The sequence below is a fragment of the Homo sapiens genome, chromosome 3, assembly GCF_000001405.40.
Source record: "Homo sapiens chromosome 3, GRCh38.p14 Primary Assembly".
Lineage (NCBI taxonomy): Eukaryota > Metazoa > Chordata > Mammalia > Primates > Hominidae > Homo > Homo sapiens.
In genome coordinates this window covers 172,203,036-172,229,669 of record NC_000003.12, presented here as the reverse complement: position 1 = coordinate 172,229,669, position 26,634 = coordinate 172,203,036, and the positions used below count along the sequence as shown (strand labels likewise).

At 39.8% G+C, this 26,634-nt stretch overlaps 1 protein-coding gene and 1 pseudogene across 11 annotated transcripts in view, besides 6 other annotated features; one reads left to right on the top strand and one right to left on the bottom strand.

The window, feature by feature from the left end:
* The window catches only part of FNDC3B (fibronectin type III domain containing 3B), a 362,092-nt gene that overhangs the window by 172,000 nt on the left and 163,458 nt on the right, over positions 1–26,634 (bottom strand). For all 11 annotated transcript variants that reach the window (NM_022763.4, XM_017007062.2, XM_017007064.3 and 8 more), the window contains one exon: positions 2,723–2,799. In NM_022763.4, the coding sequence (NP_073600.3) occupies positions 2,723–2,799 (77 nt within the window). The remainder of the gene's footprint in view (positions 1–2,722; positions 2,800–26,634) is intronic.
* RPS27AP8 (RPS27A pseudogene 8) lies at positions 3,801–4,242 on the top strand (annotated as a pseudogene).
* Positions 5,557–5,851: a silencer, noted in NCBI's record as "tiled region #15581; HepG2 Repressive non-DNase unmatched - State 14:Gen5'". NCBI's record gives its function as "represses a minimal TATA promoter and a strong SV40 promoter by Sharpr-MPRA in HepG2 cells {active_cell/tissue: HepG2}" and the evidence as "EXISTENCE:reporter gene assay evidence [ECO:0000049][PMID:27701403]".
* Positions 6,394–6,897: an enhancer, noted in NCBI's record as "OCT4-NANOG-H3K4me1 hESC enhancer chr3:171940563-171941066 (GRCh37/hg19 assembly coordinates)". NCBI's record gives its function as "activates a minimal SCP1, AML or CMV promoter by ChIP-STARR-seq in naive and primed H9 embryonic stem cells {active_cell/tissue: H9 hESC(naive and primed)}" and the evidence as "EXISTENCE:reporter gene assay evidence [ECO:0000049][PMID:30033119]".
* Positions 16,319–16,378: an enhancer, noted in NCBI's record as "active region_20825". NCBI's record gives its function as "activates an Ori minimal core promoter by ATAC-STARR-seq in GM12878 lymphoblastoid cells {active_cell/tissue: GM12878}" and the evidence as "EXISTENCE:reporter gene assay evidence [ECO:0000049][PMID:35858748]".
* Positions 16,389–16,448: an enhancer, noted in NCBI's record as "active region_20824". NCBI's record gives its function as "activates an Ori minimal core promoter by ATAC-STARR-seq in GM12878 lymphoblastoid cells {active_cell/tissue: GM12878}" and the evidence as "EXISTENCE:reporter gene assay evidence [ECO:0000049][PMID:35858748]".
* Positions 19,181–19,743: an enhancer, noted in NCBI's record as "H3K27ac-H3K4me1 hESC enhancer chr3:171927717-171928279 (GRCh37/hg19 assembly coordinates)". NCBI's record gives its function as "activates a minimal SCP1, AML or CMV promoter by ChIP-STARR-seq in naive and primed H9 embryonic stem cells {active_cell/tissue: H9 hESC(naive and primed)}" and the evidence as "EXISTENCE:reporter gene assay evidence [ECO:0000049][PMID:30033119]".
* Positions 19,744–20,307: an enhancer, noted in NCBI's record as "H3K27ac-H3K4me1 hESC enhancer chr3:171927153-171927716 (GRCh37/hg19 assembly coordinates)". NCBI's record gives its function as "activates a minimal SCP1, AML or CMV promoter by ChIP-STARR-seq in naive H9 embryonic stem cells {active_cell/tissue: H9 hESC(naive)}" and the evidence as "EXISTENCE:reporter gene assay evidence [ECO:0000049][PMID:30033119]".

Sequence of the window (26,634 nt, the reverse complement as noted above, 5' to 3'; positions counted from 1 at the left end):
CTAGATGCTGAGATACAATCCCCATGAGGCAATATGAGTTCTTGGTGATGACTATAAATACACATTTTATTCTATGACAGGGAGGGAAAGAATCACAGATGCTGAAAAAACAGAACAACTATTTCTGTGATGAAGGTTCTAAAAGGGTCACATTGAGGAGGGGCACCAAAAAGAACAAGTGAATTGTCAATGAAAGGCTCTAGAGTATTCCAGACAGGGGGAAATAATGGACATGAAAGTGTGTATTTAGAAAGAGGCCCAAGGTATCTAGGGAACAGAAATTTAACACATAGACTGTGGGGTGACAGGTAAAGGTGCCTCTTGAGAGGTAAGCAGGGTTGAGTGTTATGGATATTATACACCATGCTACAGAACTTTAACTACATGCGAAGGCAACCAACTCTAGACCTGAACAAGAAAGTAATGTCTACTTTAGGAAGAGGACTGTGGGGATAACTGTACAGAACTAACTAGCAGAGGGACAGATTAGTACTGAGCACTTCTCACATATGTCCAGCCTGCTGCAGGAGATTGTGTGTGTGTGTGTGTGTGTGTGTGTGTGTGTGTGTGTGTGTGTGTGTGTGTTTCTTTCTTTCTACAACTGCATGACAACAATGTATCTTGCTCCTATCTCTTGGTGATAACAAGACAACTAAGACATTTTATATTTGGTTCGGCCTTCCTCATTTCATTGAAGTGTGTGTACTGCCAGCGTTAAAGAAGATGTTGTGTACACATCCTGTTGGCTTCTCAATTCTATTTTCTTCATATTAACAATCTTTTTCAGATACTCTACTGTAACGTGTCATAAAAGACATAATACTATCACGGAAGGTCATTTAACTTTGCACCCATCTTCTGGTCAAGGAGCCCAATTGAAATGAAGTTAGTCATTCACATGCCTTACAGACTGCTTCTTTCCCTTTTTCAATTCAAATTATTCCATTTTAACTATTCTTCCAATATTGTCTAGCATATTCTGCCATACCTGTCAGCCGGGAAAGAGCATCAACATGCTTCCATCATCAGTTTCATACAAGCGAGTGTACAGCTCTACTTTTACTCTATTTGGATTTTCTACAGAAGTTTTCCAGAATCCGAACTATATCCAAGTCAAAAATTCTCCACTTTTCCTAGTACATGCAATAAATATTTTTGCATTTAATGTAATCACAGCAATAATACTAGTAAGAAAAAGCACACTGAAGCTTCTCTCCGTTAGAAATGTTCAATTTTTAACTGGTATTTCTTAAATGGACCTTTAGCATAAAAGGAGGTGTTATTTTTGCGTCACAATGGTGAGAACTGTACTCTATTCAATGGAATGAAATGCTTCCTCAAAATACATGAGCAGGAGACATAATGGAATTCTACATTCCTTGTTCTTTTCTGTTAACTGACGGCTGATGTGAATGTGATCCATCATCTGGTGTCCCTGCTGGAAGAGCCTGTTCTACACCCCTTTCTCCCTCCAGTGATTCTTACTTACAAAGACTTGTGTAAAGTAAGTCATTTATTTGCAACAGCAGGAAAACTGGCCAGCAATCTGGCTATGTAAGTAAGTAAGTAAGTAAGTAACTCAGTAAGAAATAAATAAAGTCCAATTGGCTCACATAAAAAAAAGGATGGAAAAAAATGAAATTATAGTGGCTGCAATATGCCTTACACTTGAAAAAATGGGTAAGTTTTTATATCAGAGAAGGATAAATCTTTGATTCCTGCCTCCGCTTCAGCAACTTTCCTATGTAGCTGCCAATTTTTCGCCCTAGCAGAATCATTAAAAACTGAAAATTACATATTTTAAACCACTTTAAAAGCAGAGGCTGAGAGACAGAGAAAGAGTAGAGAAAAGAAAAATCCATCTGGAAGGATATAATCAAAAACATGTTAGCAGAGTGATTATCATCTCTGGATAGTAAAATGGTAAATATTTTTCCTTTTATGGTAAGTAGGAAGAACAAAAAAGGCAGAAAGACAGAAAAACAGTTTGTTAGGTATTTGGAAAGGTAGCTATGCAGAAACAGAAGATTTGCATATTGTGCTGAGGCTAGGACAAAAACTAAAGTATATACAGATGTCCACAATGTTCCAGCCATGCAGAACATTTTATGCTTTATTCACGTACAGGAACATAACTTCATCCTTTAAAGCTTTTCTACCCTTCCCACAGATCTCTGAGATTGCTATTACCATCATTTTACTTAGAAAACCAAAGCTCAGAGAAATTTAAGTGCAAACAGCCAAGTTCTCACATCATACTCAATAACTCACCAAGCCTAGCTTTTGCCACATTGTGGAGCAATTGAACTCCATTTTTTTCCTTCTGTAACAGAAGGTAGGCCCTGTTTATGTGAGCTATGTCTCCTTTAATATGTTAACTAACTACATCTATGAATTTTCTTCCAGAAAGTTGTATTACAGGTGGAAGGAAATGTCTGAAGCAGGAGACTCCATAAAGAAATCACAACCAAACAATCAAATATAAAAACCCCACTTGGCAGAGGACAGTCTAGTAGGCCTTCTGTGTCTCCTTTTCTCTGGTTCTCTGGTACGTCAAGTGGCAAGACACAAGAAACGCCATGTGGTGCCACAAAATGATGGCAAACCTAGCACTACGGTACCCAAATTAACTCCTGGAATATGGCTTTGAAGCCTCAACATATATTCTGTTGGAGCAACGACAGTGTCCATAGTGAGTAGAGAAGTCCATCAAATGGATTACCTGTGAGATATAACCTGGAGGCACATGAATGGGAGGAATGGATCCATTGGGTGACATCATGGGAACTTCAGCAGGTCCTAAAACAGACGAGTCAGATGTTAATAGCTGAAGAAACATACATTATTCAAAATAATTAATGTTTTCAATGTACTATCCAAACTGAAGATAATTAATGACTTTGACAATTTGCTCTTCAAAAGTTGGTATATATTGCCTTAAAGCTAAACCTGAAACCATGAATGAAAAGGAATTCTCCAGCTATACAACTCAAAGAAAACAAACAAAAAACCCAAAACTATAAGTATCTTTATAAATATTTAATGATTCCCAAAACCTCAAGTTCCATAAACCAAGATTGCTCAGTTAGTAGTAGTGTAACAGAGTGGGGCAAAAAGTTTCTTTCTTTTTATTTGGCCTTTAAAAGAATGCATAATTAATCAATATTTAAACAAATCAATTATAAAATTATTTTTTATTCTGGTTTAGAAAGCTCCTATAGACTTTGCATTTATGATTTTCAGTTAGATTATTTTTAATAAATTACTGTAATATGCCATAATTTGAAATAGAAGAAATCCTTAAATTATTCCAAACCAACTGAATAAGGCAGGGGGAAAGAATACATTTTTTTTTTTTTTTTTTGAGACAGAGTTTCGCACTTGTCACCAAGGCTGGAGTATAATGGCGCGATCTCGGCTCACTGCAACCTCTGCCTCCCAGGTTCAAGCGATTATCCTGCCTCAGCCCCCCGAGTAGCTGGAATTACAGGTGCCCGCCACCACGCCCAGCTAATTTTTGTATTTTTAGTAGAGACGGGTTTCACTGTGTTGGCCAGGCTGGTCTTGAACTCCTGACCTCAAGACCCGCCTGCCTTGGCCTCCCAAAGTGCTGGGATTACAGCTGTGAGCCACCGTGCCAGGTCTAGATCATATTTTAAAATAAGGAACTATTAAAAATATGTATGCCAAATTTACATGGATTATTTCAAAGTAAAGTATTAAATTAACAAGAAATTTGTTTCAAAATAGGAAATTCAGTTTTCTGATCCACCATCTGGGATGGAACCACAAGCAACAGGCAGATTTTCATAAAAGTCCTTACAGGAAGAGCACCACTCTCAAGGTTGAACCCTTGGACACAACAGAAAATCCAAAGGCCAAGATCCAGAATAAAGAAGGAATTTCTCCTGATCAACAGAGACTGATCTTTGCTGGCAAGCAACTGAAGGATGAACATACTCTAACTACACATTCAAAAGGAGTCCGCTCTTCATCTTGTGTTGGGACTTCATAGAAGTAGTCATACCACTCCCAAGAAGAATAAACATAATAGAAAAAGATTAAGCTGGATGTCCTGAGATACAATAAGGTGGATGACAACAGCAAAATGAGTGGCCTTCATTAGCAGTGTCCTTCAGATGAATGTGATGCTGGAGTTTTTATGGCCAGCCACAAACAATTGACAGACATTATTGTGGCAAATATTGTCTGACTTACTGCTTCAACAAACCAGAAGACAAGGCTCAGCACTGTGGCTCACTTGAGCCCAGGAGTTTGAGACCAGCCTGGGCAACATAGCGAGATCCCATCTCTACAAAAAATAAAAAATTAGCTAGGCATGGTGGTGCGCGCCTGTGGTCCTAGCTACTTGGAAGGCTCAGGTGGGAGGATGGCTTGAGCCCAGGAGGTCGAGGCTGCAGTGAGTCAAGATCAAGCCACCATACTCCAGCCTGCGCACAGAGCAAGACCCTGTCTTCCCAAAAAAGTTTTTAAAAACAGAAGACAAGTAATTGTGTATGAGTTAATAAAAGACGTGAACAACAACAAATTAAATTCAATGAATGTTAATTACATGTCTAAGGCAAACAACAAATGGCAAAGGTTAACAGTTACCCAAGACATAGTTTTGAGTTAATATTTAATTACAAAGAAACTGGCTGTTGTTACATCAAAATCAACTTCAGACACCTTTCAAAGATCTAACGATTAAATAAATGGCTTCCCTAGAAGTGCAAGAACCTCATGGCCACTGGTTTTCTATTTGGTGGCTGGCTCGCCTATTTAGCAGCCCACCTCCCAAATGTCAATAGAAAACTATGTGTTTCTAGTCTGAGATGCGACTTCCTGGCTCCAAGTGCCTTGCATTGTTTATTTGCTTTATCCTAATGTATGTTGTGCTGTCGGCAATGAAAATTGCTCAGCTGGAACAAAAACCAAGAGAAATACAACACTTTATTTGGTAAAAGGCAGATCCTGCCATCCAGTGCTGCATTTAAACGTGCACACAATGCATCCTTCACTTCACAGTACAACCAGCGTTATGACCACTTCACAGGAGAGGACTCAGCAGGGGGAAAGGGACAGGGACACTGGTGAGCATATGAACAAGTCTGTGAAATAGGAAAAAAAACAGGAGCAGGGAAGAAAATTTGTATACTATTTATCTAACATTCCAAATGCCAACCGTTCAATCCAAATTCATGGATAATATACCAAATCACTCAACTATCTGGTCATCTCTGTAACTGTAAAAAGTAAACACAGCAGTCTCTCACATGCTAACACATTGGCAATAATTTAAAGCAAAAGAAGAGAATGGCATAAAAATCGATCATTGCATGACCCCATTTAATTCTTAAGTATAATTTAAACGAATACATCCACCAATCGCTGAAGGCTTTGGTTTCCAAATCCATTTTTCTTGTCAGCCTCAGCATTTTTGACACAGCCAACGAGAGAGTTGTGTATTTACTTAATATTTGTATTTGAATTGACTCATTAAAAATAAATCATAAACAATGATGTCTGCCCCATCCTGAGCAGTATCTGTGAAATTCAAGGGCTGATGTACACAGCTCAATGGAGCAGATGTTAAGAGTGTGATCTGCCTGGTTTTATTCCCCAGCTCACTATTCACACTGGTTGCGTGACCTTGAACAATTCACTTAGCCTTTCTGAACCTTACTTCCTAATAGTCATAAGTGAGAATAACAATTCTTACTTCATATGGTCAGGTTTAAAGATGAAATTCATTACACGCAAAAGCGCTTAGAGCAGTGCATGGCACAATAATCACTCATCAAAATGTTACTAGTTATCATTATTCTTTACAATGCTTTTTATAATTTTATAGATAGTTTTGGTTGCTTTTTAAATTTTTTTTTGTTACTATTACAAGTAGTAAAGCTTTTTAATATTCCACACCCATGCAACATAAAATCAACAAGTATACACTTGGTACAACATTGACTTAGGGAACAATCCTTCCTCATTAGGTAAAAATAAAATGTTTCACAGTACAGAGTGTGAACAGAGGTGCTACCATCTCAATAAAGTATTGCTTTTTAATCACCAAAACGTATACCATGCAAATAGTCTCTTAACCCCAGGCATGACCCCTAAAACTGTTAAAGTCATTTGTGTAAAATGCTTTAAAGAATGTAGGACAAGCATGTGATTTACAGCTAGAAAAGGTTTTCTTCACAGTCTTGATTTCAAGAGTAGCCAAATGACTTTAACATGCTTGTTCCCCCTTTTGTCACTGTCATCAAAACTATTTCAAAGGACATTTAAAAATATGCACTAATAGTTTCCAAAACTCCACCTTGCCTTAGAACCCCAAGTTCCTCTCCTTTCTGAAATAAACCATTGCATCTATAGGCAATTTGGAGTTTAAAAGCTAGCAAAATAAAATCTCATTCACCATAGTGGTACGAAAAGAAGTTATTGTCTTCCTAAACATTTATTTCCCAATCTGTGAGTTTACTATCTCTGCTGAACTGTGTTTGAGAATGCCCAATATTATTGTAATCTTTCCCTAATTAAAACACTAATTTCTCTTCGTAAAGTTCCTAAAAGTCTGCTAGCAATTGTTAATGAATTGAATTTTCATTTACTTAAACCTTGAACCAGAAAGGTTGGAGAGCCGCTTTATTATTCAATCAATGGTAATTAATGCAATGATTGTATGACAGTATTCACACATCAAAGAGACAAAAGGAAAGACCAGCAACATTGTATTCTTAGGACCACACAAGCTCTTGGAGAGCTCCTGAGCCTCCACCAAGGCTGCAAGATCATTCTGCCTCATCCTCTGTTTCTTCCCTGCTACCAGGGATCCCCAAGAGCAGGGGCGCCCAATCCCCAGGCCACGGACCACTATTGGTTTGTGGCCAGTTAGGAAATGGGCTGCACAGCAGGAGATGAACAGTGGGCAAGCGAGCATTACTGCCTGAGCTCTGCCTCCTGTCAGATCGGCAGCGGCATTAGATTCCTAATCAGCAGCGAACCCTATCGTGAAGAGGGATCTAGGCTGTGTGCTCCTTATGAGAATCTAACTAATGCCTGATGATCTGAGGTGGAACAGTTTCATTCTGAAACAGCCCCCCTCACCCCCAATCCGTGGAAAAATTGTCTTCCACAAAAACGGTCCCTGGTGCCAAAAAGGTTGGGAACTGCTGACCTAGAGCTCACACATCTCAGATGCTATCTTCACAACATTCACCCATTCTGGGAGCAGACAGAACCAGACTGATTAGGTGAATTACAAATAAAGTTTGGAAGTCTGAAATGGTGGAAACTGGGAATCCAGGGTACAAATCATCATTTAAACAAGTCTTAGAAAAAGATCAGCTATAAACTAATCAATTATACTATAATTTCAGGCACTTTTAAATGGTATTTTTATCATCTGAGTATTCATGTGCTTGTCTATAATCTGATAATGAATTCATAGAATTATTGTGCTTGTCTATAAACTGGTACTTGTGTGTCTAAACGGCTATTTTTCAACAATAGCCATTAGCTGCAATAGATCACATTTTTTCCTAATTGATTTAAATATCATCTTGCTCAAAAAGGATGTAAAGGAGTTGACATCACAACATAGCAAGATGAAAATAAGGCAAAGATGAAATAATGATGTGATAAAATCTAATTTATCCTATAAAAGTGACCCTTCAGTCTTTTTAAATAGCTGAGGAACAGAAATTCTTGCTGGCAGAAGTAGCCATAAGGCCACAGCTAGTAGGTAAACAGATAATAATGGTGAAAGTAATTATCAGAACAAATGGTCTAAATACAAGTACATTTAAGCTGTTTGCAATGGGTCTAAGACTGCATACAAAATGTGAGGTCTTCTGATGAATCTCATAAATGTCTAATGATGAATCTGCAATCATTCATGGTGACTCAAGACTCTTACACAAGCTAAGAGATAATGTAGGCACTTTGGTTAGCCTTGACATTCTTTTTTTTTTTTAAATTATTCAACACTGATTAATCCCACAAGGGAACTAAAAGGAAGACAAAGAAAATAAAGCACAGATGCTAACTTTAAAGAAATTCGAACTCTGCTGCAGTGGTTCTTCAACTTCAGTGTGCATCCACATCATCTAGAGCGTTTCTTAAAATACAAATTGCTAGGCCCCACTTCGCACAGTGTCAGAATCAGAAAGTTCAGAGGGAACCTCCAAGAATGAGTATTTCTAACAAGGTCCCAGGTGGTATGGATGCTGCTGTCTAGGGACCATGCTTTGATAAGCTCTGACTTCATGAGACAGAAGACTATAAGAACCAGACTTTCCACCAACATCAGGAACTAGACAAGGATGTCCACTTTCATCACTGAGATTCAACATTGTACTGGAAGTTCTAGCCAGAACAATTAGGCAAGAAAAAGAAAGGCATCCAAATTGGAAGAAGTAAAACTTATCTACTCACATATGACATATCCCAACGTATAGAAAATCTCAAAGATCCCACAAAAAAAATTACTAGAGCTAGCACACTAATTCAGTAAACCTGCAAGGTATAATATCTGCACAAAAAAAGCCAATTGTGTTTCTACACACCAGGAATGAACAATCAGAAAATTAAGAAAACAATTCCAATCATAACAGCATCCAAAAGAATAAAATACCTGGTGATAAATTTAATCAATGGAGTGAATGGTCTATATACTGAAACTACAAAACACTGCTAAATAGTAGCATGAAAAAGAAGATTTATTTATTTTTTTTTAATAGAGCCAGAGTCTCACTATATTGCCCAGGCTGATCTCAAACTCCTGGGGCTCAAGTGATATTCCTCGGCCTCCAAAGTACTGGGATTACAGGCATGAGCCACCACACCCAGCCATGGAAGATTTATTATTAAGCTAGCAATAATACTCAAAGTGATCTAGAGTCAATGTAATCCTATCAAAATTCCAGGGACTCCAAATAGACAAAAAGAATGAACTTGGACCCCTATCTCATATCATATACAAAAATCAACTCAAAATGGATCATAGACCTACTTATAGAAGCTTAAAAAAAATAAAACTCTTAGAAGAAAACAGAAGTAAATCTTCATGACACTGCATTTGGCAACAGATCTATAGACACCAAAAGTACAAGCAACAAAAGACAGATAAAATGAACTTCATCAAAATTAGAAACTTTTGTGCATCAAAAGACATAACTAGGAAAATGAAAACACATCCTATAGAATGGGAAAAATATTTACAAATCATATTTGATAAGGGACTTGTATCCAGAATATATGAAGAACTCTCACAACTCAACAAAAAGACAAACAACCCTACTTAAAAATGGCTAAAGGAATTGAATAGACATTTCTCCAAAGATAATATGTAAATAGCCAACACACAAACACATGCACACACATAAGAAGATGCTCAACATCATCAGTCATGAGGAAAATACAAATCAAAACCATGATGAGATACCACTTCACACACACTAGGATGGCTATTAAAAGACACACACACACACACACAGAAAATAACAAGTGTTGACAAAGTTGTGGAGAAATTGGAAACTTGTACACTGCTGGTAGGAAGTAAACAGAAACTGTGGAAAACTGTACCACTTCCTCAAAGTTAAATGTAAAATTACCTTATGACCCACCAATTCCACTTTTACTTGTATTAGGTTGGTGCAAAAGTAACTGTGTTTTTTGCCATTGAAAGTAATATATCCAAGAGAATTGCAAACACATAAACAAACACATCTACAGGCATGTTCACAGCAGCCTGTACATGTGTTCATGTTCACAATACTCAAAAGATAGAAAGAGCTGAAATGTCCATCAGGAGAAGGATGGATAAAATGTGTACAAACCATAGAATACTACTCCACCATAAAAAGGAATGAAGCACTAATACAAGCTACAATGCTGATAAAGCTTGAAAGCATTAGGATCAGACCCAAAAGATCACCCATATTGTGTGATTCCACTTACACGAAATATTCAGAATAAATAAATCTACAGAAACAGAACTCAGATTGGTGGTTGCCAAAGGCTGAGGCAGGAGGGTGGGTGGAAGGTTTGCAGGACTGAGGAGCATCCGCTCAATGGGTACAGCTTTTTGGGGTGATGAAAAACGTTTTGGAAACAGAGGTAGTGGTTGCATAACATTGTGAATAGGTGTATTTACTTAATGAGTTAATTTTATGTTTTATGCATTTCACCTTAACAAAAAAAGAATTGAAAAATTATGCAAATAACCAAAGAAAGATAAGGTAGTAAAACTGGGGTTACTAACAAGCTACAAAACAGCAACTGCATATAAATCTCTGAGAGCACATTTTCATTCCACATACATTCATATTTGTAAGGACACTATTTCTAGACACTGTGCTATGCAAAGGCCAAGAGGTGCATTGTCTATCCACAAGCAACTGCATGGGGATACAGACATATAAACAAATAAACACAAGAAGGCATTTCAGGCACTGTCTAAATTTTACAAGATTTAAAAAGATTACTATCTTGTGGAAACGTTAGTAATTGCAGAACTGAGGAGGTCAAAGGCCCTTAGGATATAGTAGAAGTCTCACAGCTTTACAAATAAACAGACTGAGGCCCAGAAGCAAGCTGACCAGCCCAGGAAAGAGCAGGCAAGAGATGGAACAACAGGGACAAGAACTCTGTTCTTCTTGTTTTTCTAATTTCACTTTCCTTTGAAAGCAAGATCTCTTGTTCCTTAAACTGCTGCTGGCAAACTCGTCTTCTTTCAAGGTGTTATTTTCACACAGAAGCTAGGTACTGATGGCACTTCCTCTGGCTCAGGTAAAATGATGGAAGGCATACTGGTCTCTCCAACCTGTGACTACTTCTTCCCAAAGGCATCCAGCCAGAGAGGAAACAGGGCAGGAAGGCGCTAAAGAGGCTTGAGTTTGCACCTGGACTCCATCACATTCTAGCATGACCTTGGGGCAAATTACTTAAAACTCTCTGATCAACACTTTACTGGCCTACCAAAAGGGATGACAGCTGCTAATTTCAAGGGTTGTTGCAGGACTGGAAGATGTAATGCATATAAAGTACCTAGCACTGTGCCTCGATGAATAATATCTTAACAACTTTCACACTGCCCCAGTAGAAGAAAAATACCATGTGAACAAAGAGGTTCACACAGTGTTATCATTCACCACAGAGGCCAAATGAGTTACACAGTTTCTTAGATGAGCAAGTGAGTTTTTTTACTCTTCACATTCTTTCTCCTAAAGTATCTTTCCATCTTATAGCTTGGCAAGAATATCCTCCTCTTGAAAATGTAGTATCTTCACGATAACCTAATTATGGTTATTAAAAAATAAGAAAATAAAAATAACAAGGTAAGGGTGGCTGCTTTGTCATAGTTGTCTACTCCCCCCAACCCTAGTCCTCTGTGTCTCCCAAAATTACCTGTCCTGCTTCCCCAATTTCTAGGAAATCTTGGAAAGTTAGGTGTGCCAGCTTTCGGGATGTCCTCAGACAGCTCTAAATCAAAGGACCAGCCCTTTTTTTTTTTTTTTTTTTTTTTTTCCTGAAAGTCGATCTTCTCCGTTTCTCTGGCATTGGCTTTATTTCAAGAATTTCTAGTCTGGCCCAGTCATTGTCTTTAAAAGGAGCAAGTGACCAAAAGAACAAATTGCTCAATGACTAAATTTTCCTGCTAAAATCTTAACGTATATCACTACCAAGAACCAAAACTGAGTTGCTGATAGAATTGTTAAATAAGGGTAGCCACCATCTTCTCACCTGGCCATTTCAAATCACAAGGCCAGCGTTAGTGAACAATTCTGTCTTGCCAATTTGAAATTCAAGTCTTTTCTTTCAAACATTCCTCTTTGAACTTGTTTTGTTACTTAGCTGTTTTAAGGGCATCAGGAATAGAAAGACCGGGGTTTAATTCTCACATAAGACAAGCTTCTTAAATCCCAATTTTCCTCAATTTCATTGAAGTTGAGGTATCTACCCAATTAGCTACTTTATCAAGTTGTTTTTAGGCTTAAATGGTTTTAAAAAAAAAACCCTATACACTTATTGTGTAAATACATAATGCTATTCTTTTGTTAGCTTATGTTTTATTAAATTCAATCAACATTCATTGTGCAAGATGTAAGGAATTGAAAGTCACACAGAAGATTTTATAACACATACATAAACAACAAACTACTGCATAAAGCAGCAGCAATTGTTTCATTAGAGGCAAGGAACTCTGGAGCTGGACAATAACAATTATCCTTAGAGTGGGTGGGGGAAGAATATTCAAAATTCAGTGACTAGCAATGAATGGTACAGAAAGTTGGTGAATCCATTCACAGCAGGCATGATGACCTAACATGGTTTCAAAAAGAACTTGATTTAAATTCAGGGCTACAGAAATGCAAGCTTTAAGACTGTCAAAGACATCAGGTACCAGGAGACAGGCTTGTAATATAACCTTCAACTCCAGTTTTTAGAACCCTTGGTTGTTGCTTTGTTCAGTTCAACAAACTTTTGTTGAACCCAACGTAACTGCCAGACCTTGTGCAGGATGCCAAGGACACAATGACATTGAAGAGAACAAGCATTTCTGTTCTTAATTATGGAGAGAATGGCATGCGGAATGAGTAATGCACAGGTGCACAGAACCATGTGGGGGACGGGGAGACCCAGCTTTTGGCCTGAGGTTTCTGTGTATCTCAGCATGGAGTCAGGCATATAGCCCAGACAACTCAAGCAGCATGAGCATTTGGTGAAAGTCTGATCTAGCAACAGAAATAATTGAAGAGTTAGGTAGAAGACCTCTGAGAAAAGGTCCAAGAAATTATCTTTGGAAAAACAAAAAACAGTGGGTTCCATACATCCAGAGTGACGGTGAAGCTGAATCTCCCAGGGTCTCAGGACTCTGCTCTTCAAGTTAAACTTTATCACCTTGCCCCAGTTTGAAACATAATTTACTTAGGCTACAAATAAACAACATTCAGGATTACCTTATCATTTAAACTTATTTATTTATTTTGAGACAGGGTCTCGCTCTGCCATCCAGGCTGCAGTGCAATGGCATGATCACAGCTCAACGCAGCCTCAACCTCCTGGGGTCAAGCGATCCTCTCACCACAGCCTGAGTAGCTGAGTAGCTGGGACTACAGGCAAGCCACTACATGTGCAGCTGGTTTTTGTATTTTTTTGTAGAGATGTGGTCTCACAATGTTGCTCAGGCTGGCCTTCAACTCCTGGCCTCAAGCGATCCTCCCACCTCAGCCTCCCAAAGGGCAGAGATTACAGGTGCGAGTTACTGTGCCCAGCCAGTTAAACTTATTTAAATGAATACTAAGATCCCATCTTTCTTTGTTTTGATCTTTAATGTCAGGTTTGGAATGGCAGGTAATCCAAAGATAGGCTTATTTATACTTAAACCAGGACCCCGTAAACATTAAAGCCCTAAAGAATTATACAAATGCAACTCAATAATACTGAGAAAAGGCTTCTGATATTTAACAAGTAAAGTCCCTGCAAATATCAACAGCAAAATTAAAACAAAGGCATCACCAGAGCATCGAGTGCTTCATTTCAAAACCTTTAAAAGCAAACCATCCCAGCATTTTCTCTCTTTGGCACATGAAGGGCATCCGAGACGCCCTCGGACTTTCTCACACAGCGTGAAGAGGATCTATTAGCATTTCAGCTAATAACAAACTCAAGACGGAGTTCCCAGGAGAGGTGAATAGGAACAGGTGAGCATGACTCCTAGTGGTATCCTCTAGACAAACTTGTTGAGGGTAAAAAATTACCCCCTATTCTGCTTATCAGAACAAGGCTATTTAAATTTTAAATGCCCCGAGGTAAAATGCAGACTAAGATGTTAAAGTTTACTCATTTTGTAGAGAAAAGAATCAGAAAGATTGCTCATTAAAAGTCGATGCAAGTAGAGCAACTAAGGGAGGTCTCAGCAGGAACGGGGCAGAATTTATTTGCTGCACTGGCCCCGAGTCCAGGCTGGACTGCAGTGGCGCAATCTCGGCTCACTGCAACCTCTGCCTCCTGGGTTTAAGTAATTCTCCTGCCTCAGCCTCCCGAGTAGCTGGGATTACAGGTGTCTGCCACCATGCCAAGCTAATTTTTGTATTTTTAGTAGAGACAGGGTTTCACCATGTTGGTCAGGCTGGTCTCGAACTCTTGACCTCAGGTGATCCACTCACCTCGGCCTTCCAAAGTGCTGGGATAACAGGCGTGAGCCACCACGCCCAGCCTCCGAGTCTTTTAACAGGGTTGCCTGTCATTCTCTCACCAGCTTTCTCTGCTCTTAGGAAGAGTTATGAAAGGGAACAGAGATGAATAAAACCTTGTCTACTCTTCCTCCATGTACCCCCACTTCCATCCCATTTGCCTGGCCACAAGGCCCTCTTCTCCCAGTGGGGACAGAGAAGTGAGCAAAAGACAGGACAGCAAACAAGTGTTTTTATAACAAGTCCATGAAGAACTCATGGGCAAATACACATTTCCTATTTTATTTGTGTTCCACTTTACAATTCCTAGGTCATGCTCTGGCAGGGCAATTTTGCAAATAGTGCTGAAATTATTAACCAGACAACAAAATGTCATTGTACTCCTCACAAGCTCTGTTTTACATTATTCATCTGTTACAAATGAAAGAACATGAAAAACATCACCAACCTGAAAGCTGTATGACAAGTAATAATCATGTATTGCTTTACCAACATATCATTACTCAATATATTTCAGGGATTTCAATTATTGTTGCTTTAGTGAGGCTTACAAAGCAAACCACAGAAGATCCCTTTTAACTACTCTCAGGGTTGGCTCTTCCATTGCCCCTGCAAGAGTGCCTGCCATAAAGCAAAGTCTTTGACAACACTGTAAGGGCATTTTATTGACAACATCCTAACGTGGTTTACTAGCTTAGTTCTTTTAACTCATGCACTTAAAATCCAAAGGCAAGAGAGAAATGTCCAGGATGTATGGACTAGAACTACTAAGGAAAATCAAAAGTGATTATGGAAATGGAAAAAAAAATGAACCAAATATTCCATAAACACAGAGTCATAGTTTATCTACCTGATGCCACTTTCTTGCCAATCTAGAAGGCTGCTCAATGGAAAAAAAAATGAACCAAATATTCCATAAAACAGAGTCATAGCTTATCTACCTGATGCCACTTTCTTGCCAATCTAGAAGGCTGCTCACTCACTCATCATCACTTCAGTGTCAGGCTGGAAGGGACCAGCAATCTCCAAAAATTAACTTAACTTTACAAAAGTGTCTTGATTGTTAATAAAAATCCTCTAAGTTGTCCGGCAGCTGGGACCTAATAATGGGCTGTGAGATGATTAGTTTGATGTATATAGTTCCAGTCTCTGCCTTACCTAAACCACACAGAAGGGGTCCGGAAAGTAAATGAGAGTTCTTACAGACCAGCCTGTTGATTTTACTCTTTTGTTTGTAAGTGAAAAACAAAGGGCAGGCTAAGGGCTGAGGGTAAACAACAACTACAAATAGGTTAGGCTCTCTTACCTCTGAAGTGTTTGGCGTCTGATCAAGGGCAGTCAGTAAACACCCCCAAGCAATTGTGGGAAAGTTGGTCACCTAGACTGCTATTTTCTCAGCCATAAAAATGAACTGACAAAGTTATTGTTTGAGAGGCACCAGACTGCTTTATGGCGCGGCACCATAGATGCTTCTAATTTTGGCACATTGCCTCCACAGAAACAAGCAATTTTTACTAAACAAGCTACAATTTCACTTTCAAAAACCAACCCTTCATCTACTACTAAGGGGGCCTGAGACAAATCAAAATCAAGGGTCTACATTTGGGGTAACAGGCTACCAGAAAGGTCTCCTAACTGATTCACTGCTGTTTATCCTGAGCTGAAAAAGCAACAAGAACAGATACATTTTAAAGTTAGCTCCTCAAAACAACTACTAAGCCTTTGGGGTTTGCTAATCTGGAAAGGCTAAAAAACCGAGGCCGTATTAGGATAGGTAAGAATGGGGAGAAGGCAAAATTACCAGGTAATCACTAAAAACAAGACTACATCAAAATGGGGAGTTTTGCATATAGTACTATCACTGGTTAAGCAAGAGTATGAGCACAAACAAATGATATGCATGATATATAAATATGAGCAACTCATAAATCCCTTCAAGGCAAAACTTTAGGATTATACTCCTCCCTTTTCCAGACATCCCTACTCAGACAAAACTGTGAATACTGAGAAGATAGGAGTTTCTTCATCACCTTATCTCTATCACTGCCTTTGAGAAACCACTGTGGTTTATGACTTGTCTTCCCCATGACTTAAACTGTAAAAGAATCCCCATGTTCCCATGTGCGTATGCTCACATGGCCTGAGGTCCAATGAGACGCACCTTTGGCCTCATACTTGTCTAGGGATCACATTCACTTTTAGATGAGTAAAACACTGTCAAAGTATTTGAGTAAAAATTTTCTGGCCACAGATCTGAGGTCAGGTCTGTTAGGCTGTCTGCACAGAAATGTTACTAAAATCAAGTGGAGAACAGATAAGGAGAAAGAAGGATCTGGGGCAGAAAGCTGATCCTCTCTTTGAAAAAGAAGGGAGGAACCAGACAGATACCTAACATGGAAGAAAAAGAAAAAGGAAGGAAATAATTTCATGGATTGGTGTGTAAACTACAAACAAGGCAGAAAAGCCACAACCAGAAAATACATGTACCCAATTAATCTCAACTGAATTGTTTTCCAACTGTCCTCGTGATACATTAAGAGATCTGTGACCATAGCATATGCATGATATTCAAAACGGTAACTGATACAAATCACAGGAATCCAGAGGCTGGTCACTGGTCCATTTCAGCTTTCCAATAGTATTTTTTAAAGTTCTTCTCTTCAGTCCATCCCCATCAAAACCAAATGGCTCAGTGGAGATATGGGATTCAGTCTGTATGGCCCTGGGCAAGTTACTTAATTGTTCATGATACAAAGTAAAAGAGAAGAAACCTGATAATTTCTGTGCTTCCTTCTAGAGTAATATGCTGGGTGGTAGTGGTGGTACTGGTGTCACGTAGGTCTGTGCTTGCAGATTCTAGAAAACAGGTGTTAGCTGACAATTTCTAAATTCTTCCTGCTATCATCCTCAAATGTGCTACGTCAAAATTTCTAGGCCTTTTTGAAAATGTAGATTTCCAGGCCTTCAGAGTCTGCTTCTCCCCACAAGCAGCCCAACTTCCTCAGGCCATCCCTGATCACTGGTTTTGATGCAGATGTGCTACGGACCAGTTCAGAAGAATGACTTGGAAAGAACGCGGTAAAAAATAAATAGAAAGTAGAAAAAAACAGGCTCATTCAAGATCCTTGAAGCACATCTCATTTGTAGTTACCTTGAGTCCAATTAGCTAAGTTTTAATTTCATCACAATGTTTAAAAGTAAAGAGGGAAAAAGAGTCATTAACAGAGTTCCATAAACTTTATCCTATTAATGGATATTTAATTGAATATGCTTCAGCTGGCAAAGATGACTATAATTTGGCTAAAAATAGTCCCCCAGCTTTAGTCATAATAAAGCAACCACTGTTTTACTTCCATGGCAACAACAAAATGATCACAGGATTTTATATAATATAGGATAATAAGCACTCTATGAAGAATCAGTCTATGCAATTATTGCTGTTTATTTATATGATTAATGGTCCCTGGTGATCGTTTAATATGAAATAGTATACATCTAAGAATAAGGAAGTAGGTAGAACAGCTGATAAAACATTTATAAACATCTTTAATTGACAGCTAAGATCAAAGAATTGGAATTCTCTTGGGGATCTTAACAGTCATCCAGACCAATTCCCCATTTAATGCTTGAAGTTTTGAACAAAATTTCTAACAAGTAGCAGAATACTTCAATGTAGAGTTTACTATCTCAAAATGCAGAGAAATTCCATTTTTTAATAATCCTAACTGGTAAAGGGTTTCCCCTTTTTCAAAGGCAGAAATCTGAATTCTGTTCTTAAGAGCCATACAAACAAAATGTAACCTCAATTCCATAAAACAAGATTTAGATACAAACTTAGGCAGTTGAATCCCATCAGCCCTCCTCTTCTACAGGCAAAAATCATCTGGGCTTTCTTTATCTTCTCCTTCTATGACATGCCTTCCAACCATTCCCCTTGGGTCCTTCTAACAATCTACCTTATCTATGCCCCTTTGCAAAATCAGGTTCTAAAAACATTATATTTTATCATTTTCTGTATGTCCAAGGTGTGGGAAATCATTATAACCCTGGGCTACTGACAGTCAAATTCAGAAATAAGTCCAGTCAACCTCTTCCCTACACCAGGGTCAGTGGACCAATGAGGAACTCAACCCACTGCAGAGACAGGCAGAGCCTGCAAACAGGATCCCGCCAAGTTCAAATCTGAAGAAGGTCATGATTTCTGTTTCTTCATCCTGAATTACACTAGGTTATTGAAATCCTTAGTATTCCAATCAGCACTGTACTCACTGCTTAAAAACCTACGTTTTTACATTTATGTTATGAGTCATTTTTATGTTATACTCTTTGCAATCATTAAAATATTTAAAGTTTTATGTTTTTCAGTGTGTGTATATTGTCATATGAAATCATAAAGTTCTCTTCATATGAAATATTTTAATCTGTTACTTTAACTTAAAGGTTTCTGGAACAGCAGAGTAGTAAAGCATTGAACAAGAAACTCTAATTTTCAATCCCAACTTTTGCAAATGTGTCAGCAGCAAAATCTCAACTCACTAAGAATGTGTATAAAAATAATGATTTAATGATTCTATGTATGGGTAACACATCCGAGTAACACATCCAAGTAACACATCCAAAAAGCAAGTAACTTCTAAGCTGAGCTAATTCTCTCACTTGAGCCAGAAAAAAGAATATTTGCTTCCCTAAAACCTTAGCTTATTCTTCTCAACAGTCATACCTGTTTGCATATTCATGTGCAAATCTTTTCATTTTTTTGCACTTGGCTGAAAAGTTTAACTAAAACAAAATACTACAAAAGTGCAGATTTTGCCAGGCACGGTGACTCACACCTATAATCTCAGACACTCGGGAGTCTGAGGAGGGAGGATTACTTGATGTCAGGAGTTTGAGAACAGCGTGGGCAAAAAAAAAGAAGTGAGATTCTCATCTCTAAAAAAGTTTTAAAAATAAAAAATTAGCCAGACATGATGTCACACACTTGTAGTCCCAGCATACTTGGGAGGCTGAAGTGGAAGGATCGGAAGGATTGTGTGGGCCCAGGACTATGATTTTGCCACTGCACCCCAACCTGAGTGAAACAGACCCCATTTCAAAAGAAAAAAGGAAAACAAAAAAAGAAAATTAAGGAAAAATGCAGAACTCTTAAGAAAAATCCAATGATCTGTTTTATCAAAACATATCATAATGATAGCAGTGGTAGCCCACGTGGAGCAGCCACTGCAAAGATGCCAACTGCATGGAGGAGTGGGGGGCGGCTTCGTGGAGCTGGCGGGGGCTGGGAACAGGTGATCCCGGTGGGAACCCTGTGCCCTACCAAGTTGGCAGGGTGGGAGCCTGCGTCCCTGGGCACAGCTGCAGCCACCCAGCTGCAGCTCTGGACCCAGGCATCCCTGCGCTCCCGCAGGCTCAGAAGTGCCTGCTTCCACTCCCTGGCTGGCCTCTCCCTGTCCCTGGCACCCACTCCAGTCGGAAAACAGTTGTGGCTGAGCCTGGGCACTGTTGCGAGCCAGCCGGATGTGTGTGTGCTCAGGGCAGCACTGACATGTCAGCCCCCTGCTGCCTGGACTCCCTCCAGACGTTGGGCACCAACGAGCATGGGAAGGAGGCCAAGGGGCTGAGGGCAGTTCAGTGCGGGCCTGCAGGTGCCCCTCGGGCCGGACAGCCTGGGCGCCATGGATGGCATATTGATAGTGGTGGGAGGCAGACAGTTTCCTAGGCAGGAAGGGGCAGGTCCCTGGTGAAACTCCACCTTTAAGCCAGGGAGGGCCTGAAGCCTATGGTCGAGGCTGCCAGTTCTGGGTGGAGTCGGCTACTGGGAGTGAGAACTTCCTTGATGCCTTTCGGATAATCGGATGGTGCTTTTTCCAGGCCCGCCTGTGGCCGCCCATGGACCAATCAGCACACATGCCCTCCCTTCTGAGCCCATAAAAACCCCCAGACTCAGCGACTCATCACCTGTCTGTGGATAGGTGCTAACCACTTTGGGTCTCCTCTCCACTGAGAGCTGTTCCTGTTGCTCAATAAAGCTCCTCTCGGCCTTGCTCACCCTCCAGTTGCCCGTGTAACTTCATTCTTCCTGGATGTGGAAGAAAAACTCGAGACCCACCAAACAGCAGGAACGAAAGGAGCTGTAACACTTTCCTGGCCAGCTTGCCCAGCTGTGGGCGGCAGCTAAAGGGGCTGTAACACTACAGCCCTCCCGCCCTCTGCCAGCACTAGGCAGCCACCTCATGCAACAGGAAGCAGTGGTGGTGCTGGACCAGCCCAGGAGCCAGAGGCAAGCATGACTGAAAGAGCTGTAACACAAACAGGCTGAAACACGACCCCCACCCCCACCCCCGCTCACTGCGCACTGTAGGCAATGAGGAGAGAAGAGGTGTGGCCCTACTGAGAGCCCAGAACTCAGGGCTCCCGGAGCCAGGGCTGTGACACGCTGTAACACCCTCTTTGGGGCTCTGTGGTTCCTGGCATCTCCAAGCTTTCAGGCGCCACTGTGTTCCCCTCATCCAGACACTGGTACCCACAGCTTGTGGTATGTCTGGTCCAGCCACAGCCTTGCACGGAGCCAGCACCTATGCTGGTGCATGGAGCTGCCCACCCCACTGCAACAGCCAGAATGCCTAGCTGTGCACAGTGGCCGGACCCTGTGCTCAATCATTTAGACACCCCTCGCCGCTCCGTGACTGGCGCACCCTTGGCAGGGGAGGATCCTGGCCGGTGGTGCTGCCTGATCCAGGCCAAGTGGGCAGAAGAAGCCCAGAAGGCACGAGCAAAACTCAAGCAGAGGCGCCGCCGGCCAGAGGTTTCTGGCTGGTGAAGTGACACCCGAAGGATCCTGTGTGATGATAACTCAACAGTAACTGAATTTGATCATTACACATGGTATACAGGTATCAAAATATCACATGTACTCCAACAATATGTACAACGATTATATAGCAACTTTAAAAATAAATAATAAAAATAAACCATATTGTCCACTAAAACTACACATTCGGTCTTCTCCATTTGTTCTCGATATACTCATGCCCCCTAACCTGCTCAACCTCTGGGAGAAGGCTATATGAGAAGGGCTCAAAATAAATATATGTATTATTATTCATGTTTTGAAAAAGCCATTTCTGACAGTACACAGCATGTCCACCTAATCTATTAAATTGCTCTAACTGCACAGTAAATTAAAGTTCAAACTACTATTGTTCCCCAGGAGTTGGGGGAAAATGTCAGATTCCTTTAATTTGTGCTTCATCACACCTTCGGTTTTTCTTTCCCAGGTGTTCATATCACAATATATTATATTCTTACTAATGTCAGCTATAGGAAAGAAAAAAATAAAGGTTCAGATCTTAATCACCAAATCTGCTGTCCAGCATGGACTTTATAGAATGAAATTTACAAGGAAATTAAAAACAAATCTTCCCTCTAAAGACTGGGGAAAGCATTGCTAAGGCTAAGGTTTTACTAAGCTACACTTCAACCCTTTAATTTTACTGAATTATCTTTTTTTTATTTTTTGAGGTGGAGTTTTGCTCTTGTTGCCCAGGCCGGAGTGCAGTGGTGCAATCTCGGTTCACTGCAACCTCCTTCTCTCGGATTCAAGTGATTCTCCTGCCTCAGCCTCCCAAGTAGCTGGGATTACAGGCATGTGCCACCATGCCCAGCTAATTTTGTATTTTTAGTAGAGACAGGGTTTCACCATGTTGGTCGGGCTGGTTTTGAACTCCTGACCTCAAGTGATCCACCCACCTAGGCCTCCCAAAGTGCTGGGATTACAGGTGTGAGCCACTGCTACTGGGAGTGAGAACCTCCTTGATGCCTTTTGGCCAATTGGATGATACTTTTTCCAGGCCCCGCCCATGGCCGCCCATGGACCAATCAGCACACCTGTCCTCCCTCCTGAGCCCAGGTAAACCTCAATAAAACCTCAGCCTATTTACCAAATTATTCATGTTTTAATATATCTGGAGAAGTCTAGCCTATCAAAACCTACAGAACAGAAACACAGAGTGAAGCACAAGTTCACAAAAGCAGCAAGTAGTCAAATCTGATCCACAGGGTGCTTTGGTCACTTTTTTCCTTGTAAACTGTGTTATTTATTTGATACCCATTGTATTTTTAATATTAATGATTGTGGAGAAAGTGCTAATAATATAAGGTATTTCTGTTTCTAATTTTGAGTAGGTATCAGGCAAAAGTAATACCCAACAGAAGTTTTCCAATTTCTCCAGGTTTTCTTGCAAATTAATATCCTGTTTCCCTTTTACAGACTAAACCTAAACCAAGCAGAAAAGACTGTTGAAAATTACTGACTAGCAGATAAAAAAATTAAGGTAATGATCTTAGGTGTCATTCAGAAAGTTGGGACTACCAATTCTCTGGGTGTGAAATTGCCTCTTCTGTGATGAGCTCTTTGGTTTGGCAGTTTGGTAGCCCCTCCAAAACAGGTTCAAAATAGGCAAAAACAGGTCCAATACATACAAAATAAGCAAAACAAAGGCAAAAAAGGCCAAAACAAAGATTCTTGGGGCAGAAAGCCAAGCTATTCTTTTGTCATAATCTCTCTCTCAAAAGAAGAAACCTGAATAAACTTTAGTTTTATAGCAAACCCAATATACTAAAACATCTTGATAGGTTTCATGTGGTCAATACAATGTGCAAAAATTTTAAGTTCAGTCAGTCGGTGTTTATACAAACTGCATAAAACATCACAATAAAGTGTGACCTATTTTTATTTTTTTATAACTCACTTTCTAAAATATAGTCTCCAGAATATACTTTTTTTTTTTTTTTTTTTTTTTTTTTTGAGATGGAGTTTCGCTCTTGTTGCCCAGGCTGGAATGCAATGGTGCAGTCTCGGCTCCTTGCAACATCCGCCTTCTGGATTCACGTGATTCTCATGCCTCAGCTTCCTGAGTAGCTGGGATTACAGGCGCCCGCCACCACCCCCAGCTAATTTTTGTATTTTTAGTAGAGACAGGGTTTTGCCATGTGGGCCAAGCTGGTCTCAAACTCCTGAGCTCAGGTGATCCACCAGCCTTGGCCTCCCAAAGTGCTGGGATTACAGGCATAAGCCACCGCGCCTGGCCTTTCAAGTACACTTTCTTTGAGATAGGATCCCAAGAAATAACTTACAAACAACATTATTCACGCAAAACCATTTTAGGTCCAATCCTCTAGCAATGGAACCATATGACCCCCTTTCCACTCAGGGCAACATTTCAGATAACCAGTAACTATTAAACATGGCATTAATGAGCTGCAATAAACATTACTCCTATAAAAATCATCTGAAACTGGCCAATTTCAATCATCCCTATAGTCTCTTGAGAAAAGCTACTTACACTAGGCAATAGTACTATTACCCTACGGTTGTAAAAATGTTGCTTCCAAGCTTTACATATAAACATATCCCCGCTCAATCCATCATCATAAAGAAATATGATTGAATATTTTTATATTAGCATCTAACTACATATAAATATCCTGATTTTATACTAAGATACCTCATAATGGTTGACTTTAAGTTTAAAATCAAGCTCTCAATTAAGTTCTGAACAAAATGTATTACCCAGCCCTATCTACTAGACCACAATGTAATTCAACCAATTTATAATAATAATAACCAGGAATTAATTAAATGTGGAACTTCTTTCTGTGACAAAAACAAAGAGGAGCAAACTTCTTTACCTACAGAATGCATTATCTTTCTGATCTTAGCCTCCTAGTACTTAGATTTTGATGACCTTCAGACACTTTTCCAAAACCATATGATATGATACACATACTCCAAGAAATAAAGGAAAGATAAATAGAAAACTCTACAAGGAGAATGCAGATTTCTTCCCTCGCCAACCGTAGTGCTGTAGTAATTGTGGCAGATACTGGGGCCATCCTCCTCTAACTTCAATTCCACACTCCACAAATGACTAGTTGTGAGATCCTAGGCATGTTAGTAAACCTTTCTCTGTGCCTTGGTTTCCTCACCTGTAAAATGAAGAAAGCAATGGTAACAATTTCACAAGATTGTCTGAGGAAGAAATTAGTTAACATATATAAAATACTTAGAAGAGTACCTGGCACATGGTTGGCTTCCCAGCTGGGCTAGCTGAGATCATTACTATTACATCAATGGCAGCCATGGTTGCCAGGCCCTCTCCTACCCCAACTGTCCCTGCTATTCCTGTTATATTTCCAGTAAGTTTAAAGAACTAGATTTTTCCATGAGTACAGTTAGTCCTGGATAAGAATACCCAGACAACCAAATGGTAAATACTGTAGCCTGGGCGGGGGATGGTAATTCTGGTTTTAAACTTTTATGGGTTATATATGCCAAAAAAATCATTTACTACAGGTAGGCAAATAAATACTGAGTTCTCACTGACTAAGGCCAGGCAACGGTTTACTGCTGCAGAGAACTACACAGAAATCTACCTTTCCACTCACAAAAGCATTCTGTCCTTCCCGTCTCTCTCCATTTCCACTACAATGCCGAGTGAAGCTGTTCAGTGTTGAACATGTACTCAATAAGCAACACAGACCAGAATGGTAAGTGTCCTGTGCATGCCATGTGCTCACTGAGTTTCATTATCAGCAATGTTGTTTTTCCACCCACTCAACCAAGGTTTCTGAAATTTAACACACAAAACAATGGGTAATTGCAAGGAATGCCACATCTTTTCCATGGGCTCTGTCCGCAGTTCATGCAGCGAATACTAGACTTTGCCAGAAGGTACTATTACTGTCAACTTATAGAAAGTGACTAAACTGACAACAACAAAAAAACCCACTTTATTTTCACCCTTTCATATACAATAGGTTTGTAACCCTAAAACTAAGAGACAGTTTATAAAGTAATCAAAACTCCTTCATATGTATCAATTAGCCTTTTCTTAAGGGATTATCCAGGTGGAATAAAACTCTGTCACCCATTTAATAACACATTATAAATGTATTCTATGCTTTTATTTTTGTCTGTGCATGTATGTATACATGCACAGAAATGGACCATGAGTTGGAAACTCAGAGTTCTATTTTGCTCAGGAGAAATAAAAAATATTCTCACAATTCTATTTGCCAAGGCAGCCTGGTTTATTTATGAAAACTTGGCCACAAATGGTCAGAATAAAGGCATTTCAATGGGGCTGTCTCTTTATTCCTTTTTCTCTGCTCTTTTCTCACTCTCCTTAAGAAGCGTCTCCGGTGCATGCTTGGTTTCTAAAGGTCTGATGAGACTATGGATGCTACAGTGAATGCTGAAGTCTGAAAGAAATATTTCTCTCTCCCTCGCTTTGAGTCAGAAAATTCTGAACACAAGAGGATCCATTCAAGGCATGATGGAGTGCCTCACAGAGGCAGCAATATGTTCACAGTTGGCAAACACAGATCTGTTTGGACAGTGAGTACAGCCATCCACTCAGCAAACATCAGCTTTCCTATTAGTTCACAGCAGAAAGAACGAGACGCTGGCGGCCCTTCTTTCAGACTCCAACACCACTTTGGGACAAGCCTTCTAAACAAAATGCCTTTGTCTGACAGTCACAATTCAGTGGGTCCCAACGGCTTTCTTAGAAGCTATGTCTGTCTATTCACAATCACATTCGGGCCCAAAAATCATTTGTAAAAGTCTGAAGGGAAAAAAAGTGACGGGAAATACCCCAATTTCATTGTGTAATAAAAGACAAGGGGTGCCTGAATGGCTTTACACCAATCACTAAGAGCAGCAGCTGGAAAGGTATGAAATGTATGATGGATTCTCATGGGATGTCTCTCCCCTTAGGTGCTTTTGGGAGCCTGCCTGTTGTTACCACTGCGATCTGGAAGAACACCAAGCATAATCTTTCAAAGAAAATCAGCGAAAAGATAAAGCAAATCAAAGGGCAAACCTCCTATTGAGTTTCATTCTTATGTGAATGTAACATCCTTCCCCATAAGGTTTCAAAATAAAATGCTTATGCAGTTTCTTAAGAATTGATGGCTCAGAAAGATAGAAAAACTGGCTAGGATGTTCTGTTATACCAAAATTTCACCAAATCCTCAATGTCATAAATAAATAAATTCAAAGAGAAGACAAACCGATGTCCTGTCTTGCTTTCTCCCGCCTTTGGGCATGAATTTGCTATCTGACCACTTGCTCCTACATACCTGACAAAAGAAACCCATCAGAATGACATTTTGTTTAGCATTAACACAAAATCCAAAATTTTAACAAGAAATTACAACATTCTCCTTTTAAAAATATGAGTAAGTGCCACAGGGGAAGGGGGGCAGGGAGAGAGACAATGTCCTCCAGGATGTTAGAGTGCCCACAGCTTGTCACATATTTTTATTGCTAAGTATTCATTCCCACTTCTATATATATCGAAAATAATGGGTAAATTTCAGAATCCACAGAACTCCCCATGTAATATGTTTTTAAGGACAAACACTC